Source organism: Homo sapiens, chromosome 10 (assembly GCF_000001405.40).
Source record: "Homo sapiens chromosome 10, GRCh38.p14 Primary Assembly".
NCBI lineage: Eukaryota > Metazoa > Chordata > Mammalia > Primates > Hominidae > Homo > Homo sapiens.
Genome location: NC_000010.11, coordinates 55,745,021 through 55,751,771, shown reverse-complemented (window position 1 = coordinate 55,751,771; position 6,751 = coordinate 55,745,021). Strand labels below are relative to the sequence as shown.

Genomic DNA, 6,751 nt, shown 5'->3' with positions numbered 1-6,751 from the left:
AATGGGAAATGAAATTTGCAAACATAAATACCATAAGAACTCTTAAAAGATACTTTTTAAACTCTGCAAATGAATTTTTTGAAAAAATAAAAACATGACCAGGTACGGTGGCTCACGCCATTAATCCCAGCACTTTGGGAGGTCAAAGTGGTAGGACCACTTGAGCCCAGGAATTTGAGACCTGTCTGGGCAACATAGTGAGAGACCTCTGCCTCTACAAAAAATTTTAAAAATTAGCCAGGCATGGTGGCTCTGGCCTGTAGTCCCAGCTACTCCTGAGTAGCTAGGCTCTTCTGAGTCTGGGAGGTCAAAGATGCAGTGAGCTCTGATCAACCACTGCACTCCAGCCTGGATGACAGAGTTAGAACCATCTCCAAAAAATTTTTTTTAAATAAATAGTTAATAATAAGTACAACCAAATGAAACATCAACAAAGGCCTTTTCAAAGCACTTTTTACCACAGAATTTAAAAAAAATTAAAGAAAGAAAAAATAAACAAAAGGAAATCAAGCTACTTATTACTTATTAGATAAATACAAATTAAAAATAAAAATAAATTCTACTCTATAATTATGAAAAAACTAAATTTTAAAAAATAAAGTGTATTTAGGGTTTCTATAGAAGCTGTGCAAACGAAATTTGCATGCGCTGATGAAGGGAATGTAAATCGCTATAACTCTGAAAAATATTTGACTTAATCTTGTAATGAACGTATCCTTTCTACCTCATTGTCCAAATCCATCCTGACTATATACGCATATATGTGTTTGCGTGTTTGTGTGTATGTATACATATATACACTGTGTGTATATAGAAATACATACATAAATGTGTACATATACTTCCTCCTAAAGATATGTATAATAATCTTTCTAGAAGCATAATTTATATTAGCTCCAAACTGGAAAATATATATCAAATATAGAATAAGTAAGTACAATGTGTTATGTTTACACACAAACTGCATGTTGAGTGAAAGAAGTAGCTGTAAAGTATCAACAGATGTGAGGATAATGGTGAGAGGGAGAGTAGCTACTGCGTAAGGGAAAGAAGGAATTTCCTAGAATTCGGCTCAGATTTTATTACTTCACATGAGTCATCTTTATAATGCTGTGCTCACTTTTGGATAATTTTTCAGGCTGTACATTTGATGTTGGTACATATGTCAGTGTTATACTACAATAAATATTCTAAAAATCAACATTCCAGAAGTGTTATGAAGTGGATAAATTCCTTTAATGTGAAATCATGTTTCTTACATTTTAGTTAGAGCTGCCTTTCTAACTGCCTGAAATTAGGCAAGTTAGTAATTTGTCTGTTGAGTTTACTCACCTAAAAACAAGGAATTAATAAGAGTAGCACCTTCATAGGTTTATAATGAGACTTAAATCAGTCTAATACTTATAAAAAGCTTACAATTGTACAGACCTACATTAAGTTCCATGTAAGTGTATAATAAATGATTCTCAATTATTAAATTAATACTACTTGTCCATCCCTGTAACAGGTGCTAGGACAATAAATGTTATCCATTCCCTTCCCTTAAGGAAAACAAAGACTTAGAAAATATTAATGCGAAAAGTGATAATAGCTATGGAACAGTGTTCTCAGAGTAAGATACTCAAACTATTTGTATAAGAATCTTCTTAGTGTATTTTTGAATTTATTCTAAAAATTATTGTGAGCAAATTTGGCATTGGGGCTAGAAAAGTTCATTTAAAAAAATAATGGCAATTTTTTTAAATGCTAAAGGTGAAGAGCCAAGTCTGTATATTATGAAAAAAACGACACAACAAGAAGTAACAATACAGGTTTGCTTATGAAGGTCAAGAGAAGCTTTCAAAAATACCGAGATACAGGAACAGGACCTTAGAAAAGAATAGGAGTTTTCCAAATGGTCAAGTAAGGTAAAACTCTTCCAGGAAAATTAAACCATATGAGCCAAGGCCAAGAGAACTAAAATTATATGTAGTATTTCAAACATTTAAAGTTTGATACAGCAGGAATCTAGGTGCTAATGAGAAGCATTTAGAAATAAAGCAAAAGCCAAATCTCTTCATAAGATGTTTAGACACAATCAAATAAGCAATGAGAAGATGAGTGAAAAGATTTAATCCCAGAAGAAAGGCACATATATATTTAATCCTAGAAACACACACACACACACACACACACACACACACTCACACACACAGCGTCATTGGAAATAAGGCTTAGAATAAATTACCAGTGAAAATGAATGTTGATTTTTTATTATATTTTTATGAAAAGGCTTTATCCCTTTCATATCCTTTGCATATATCCATATATGCAACCTTCAATAATGTAATTTTTATAATGATCATGATGTTGTACTCCTCAATATTTTGACATTTCACTCTCAGTCTTCCTTTTATATAAACTCCAAGAAACTTGGTCAATTCTCTCCAGACTTTATTATCTTCTAAATTGCTGCCTTGATCCGCCAAGGTCTTTTTGAACTTCAGAAAAAGATGCATTTTATCAGCCACCATCCAGTGGGATCAATTTGTTGGTGCCAAAATTGAGATCTCTTTTTACGTCCGTTTGATTTACGTGGAGTCACAAATACCAAGGCATTCATTCATCAGGGGACTTACCCACCAAACATTCACAAAAACTGTTTTCTTTTTTTTTTCTTTTCAAGCATTTTGTTGCTTATTATTTTCCAGTTTCTCAGTTGATATTCACTTCATTCACTCTTGCACTGCTACAATAAGGATTGCTCAACGAGTTTGTGATAATAATTTTCATCTTGGAACGTGCTAACTGATTTTTAACAGCCCAACTACTCTAAATCACTAGACATCAGCATTGCTGTCATAAAATTAGTTTTACAAACACTTTCAAATAAGATAAAGGCAGAAACTAAGACAGCGGCAGAAGATGGTTAAGTATAAGGGTTGTTAATTCAGTAGAATTGACACATTTCATTACCAAATGAGAAGAAAAAGGCGATATTTTAAGTAACTCTACCATGTGTCATGCATACATTAATCTAAGAAGGTAATATAGAAAGGAAAATTAAAGAAGAAAAAAAATTAAATATTAGGTATTGGAAGTACCTGTTAAAAGTTCAGAAGTTCTCAGTAGACAGATGTATTTGTAGAAGTTTTAAAGAAATAAGTAGTAACAAAAGTGATGTGTGATAACCAAAGAGGACCAATTTCAGAACACTGGTAAAAATAATGTTTAATGAGCGAATCAAGCAACCGAAATGTATATGTTCTGCAAAGACTTGTACAATAATGTTCATAACAGTTTTCATTATGATAGAGTAATATTTGGGAAACAACTCAAATATTCATCAAAAGTAGAATGGATAAATAATTTGTGTTTACTCATACAAAAGAGGTATGAAAATTAATGTACTATAATGATATATAACATTGAAGCAATCTTCCAAACATTATCATGCTGAGCAAAAGAAGCCATACATACAAGAACGCATACTGTATGATACATTTATATTAAGCTCAAAAATCAGACAAAACTAATTCATAGTGTTAGAAGTCAAGGTAACGACAAACCTAGATGGTCACTAACTGGAAGAGGTCAAAACGATGATATCTGAGGTGTGGGGCTGCCCTGTTTGTTGATCAATGTGGTGATTATATGAGGTTGTTCTATTTGGGAAACTCATTGACCTACACTCTTATAATTTAGGACCATTTCTGTGCCTATATTTTGCTCCAATAATACAAAGTAGCTAAAAATATAGAAGTAGAATCAGGAGAGGCTATTCCATGAATCCAGATGGAAAAACAGATAGGGCACGGTGGCTCATGTCTGTAATCCCAGCCCTTTGGGAGGCTGAGGCAGGCAGACCACTTGAGCCCTCTAATTAAGTCCAGCCTGGGCAACATGGCAAAATCTTATCTTTACAAAAACGTAAAAATTAGCTGGGCACAGTGGCACAAGCCTGTGGTCCCAGCTACTCAGGAGGCTGAGGTGGGAGAATCATTTGAGCCTGGGAGGCGGAGGTTGCAGTGAGTGGAGACAGTGCCACTGCCCTCCAGCCTGGGGGACAGAATGAGGCCCTGTCTCAAAACAACAAACAACAGCAACAATAACAAATGGGAAAGCATTCTGGAAAGAAGGATGTGACCAGTAGTGCCAGACTCTGAAATCCATGAAGATGAGTATATGTCTAGGTGAACTCCTCAGGTGCCAGGAAAAGCTATTCACGGTGAATTGCTTCACAGAGTGGATATGCTATAAAAAAGGCCATAAGTCTCTTCGGGGAAGGCATGGGGAAAGATTTACTGTGAGTGGTGCGTCAATAGTGCAGAGTCCTCCAGGCACCCTATTCAATCAAAGGGCTCTGAGTAAGAAAATTAACATAGAAACTGGGTGAAAGGCTATATCTCCACAGTGGTGACTGGAGTCAAGCTTTTGGCTCCAGACCTGAAGAATTTCTTGTTATATGAATTAAGCAATATTCTAAAAGGGTCTGTATTTTGTTCTAAGGATGTCAAAATCATTTAGCCACTGCCAGAGTTTTCTTGGCCCAAAGCACTCTGATGACCTGTACAACTCTACCAGCCTTGATTGTAGATATACCCACATTTTGTTTGGTGGTTAAGGTCTATAATGTTGTATCTGATTTTCTGGAATCACATCATTCCTACTGAAATCTGTGAGCACTTCTCAATTGTGGCCTCCTTTATGGTTCATATCTGGCCCACAGAAGTGAGCAAACAGAGTACTTTCAGTGATGGAAAATCTCCCCTCACCCATATGTTTCTTAATGCCTTAGTGAAGGGAGTCTCTTCTGGATCTTCTCATGGAATGTCACTGGGGAGCAAGTGTGCAGAAAACACATGAGAATCCATTCCATTGTTAGACAGTTCAAACTGTGGGAATGTTTATGATTAATTGGCTCTGAGACAAGGGCATTAATAAATAATGTAATACTGTTGGTTGATTGAACAAATTCAGTAAAGTTAGCACAAAACAATAGCTACAAAAATTACATGTATTTTCATCTGACATGGCTTGGTAATATTAGAGAAAGTATAGGTTTTAGAAATGTTACACTGAATGTGTATACAGGTTGAAGTAGCCATTTTCTCACTAGTTATCAGATAGGTAAGTAGTAGGACAGAAAAGCTCTTTCCTCTCTAAGCTATTCATATTTTCAAGCATTTATTCTGAGTGTGTTAATGATTTGTAAAACACACATGGCGTGACTTTGATTTCTCCACTATGAATGGTGTTTCAGCAACTAGGCATCATGTAGTTTCCTTTACAAGTCTCTACATTTTGTTATAGTCACACATTGTCATTACTTCAAAATGTTCACTTGTATAATTCTTGCCTCTGAACTGAAACATTTTACTCTTATTGTCAATAAGCTCTGCTTTTGTGGTGAAAAGATTATAATGCTGGCACATGAGTTTTACAATAATTTTGTATAACTAACTGGTTGAGATTGGACAGCATTGCTGGAGACCAACGGAAGCAGAGCTATTTATGGAGGTAGACAGAAAAATAGAAGCATCCACTGTTGGATTTCCAGGACAGATCCCAGCAATAGGCAGAAGGTAAGCACTGAATAAATATTTGTTTAATAACTGAATGGTTGGATAAATGTCAAGTGCCTGGTAGAGACAAGAACAATTAGGACTATGAATAGGAGAGTTTTAAATGAAGCAATGTGTTATGACTTAAAATAATATTAAATGAGGAATTGAAAACTGGGAGTCAAAATTACTTTCAAGAAGCTTGGTTGTAAAGAGAGCAAATCAAAGTTACTACAAGTAAAATCATGAGTTTTAAGACTCACTTGTACATAAGTATAACATAGTGTTACACTTAAGGCTACCCTCTTAGCAAATTTCAAGTAAATGATACAGTATTATTAACTATAGTTCTGACTTCTTTAAAACTTAAAATCTTTCTCTTATGGCAGATTTTTGATATGACTAGATTTTCTTGTAAAAAATTAAAAAAAAATCTCCCAACCTTCAAACACAGAGAACTAAAGTTCTAAAGTAGTATTGTCTAGAATCATGCTTATGACAAAGATGTGTTAATGTGTTGTATAGAAGTGTCAGAATCTATTTTACTTATAGTCATATTTCTTGTAAAATTTATCTTGGGCTGTACTTCATACCATAAGCTTCGATTAATACATGCAAGACTGATTCCTTCACTCTGAGACCAACAATTGATCAAATGGAATTTAGGTTTATAATAGGATAAACAGTATTATGAAAAGATAGAACCAATTATGGCAGCTAAGTCATCGAATATTATAATGAGCATATACTGTCTGTTTCTATCAAAGAGAGAATGATGAGATAATTTTATGCTCCTATGTATTATTTCGTCCTCTTCTATCTTCTGCAATTCATAAAGTTATGTGATAGCAGTTTGCAACTTATAGTCTAATAAATATTGTATAATTTAATTGAAATAATTGGGTCATCACATTTTAAACTCCCATTACATTGACATTTTGTACTCAGGAAATAATTTGAGATTATTTCAGTTTTCCAAAAGATCATGAGACGTAGTTTGAATTCATTATAACGGTGTAAAAACAGTGTCTTTAAAATACTTTTTTAAATAGATAATAAATACACTAAAGATGAAAACTTTCAGCATTTTTCTCTTTATTTTCCAGTTCTACCATGACCTTAATACATTGACCTTAAGCCAAGGAAATAATTGTTATCTGTGAACTCTCCATTAAATATATCAAATGAGAAAACAGGAGTCATCTTCC

The 6,751-nt window shown here is 34.1% G+C and overlaps 1 pseudogene, besides 1 other annotated feature; it reads right to left on the bottom strand.

Moving 5' to 3' along the window:
- LOC100419872 (zinc finger MYM-type containing 4 pseudogene) lies at window positions 3,962-5,464 on the bottom strand (annotated as a pseudogene).
- Window positions 3,975-4,140: a silencer, noted in NCBI's record as "fragment chr10:57507392-57507557 (GRCh37/hg19 assembly coordinates)". NCBI's record gives its function as "represses an EF-1alpha promoter that drives an FKBP-Casp9 reporter gene in an ReSE screen in HepG2 liver carcinoma cells and phorbol 12-myristate 13-acetate-treated (for megakaryocytic differentiation) K562 erythroleukemia cells {active_cell/tissue: HepG2 | K562(+PMA)}" and the evidence as "EXISTENCE:reporter gene assay evidence [ECO:0000049][PMID:32094911]".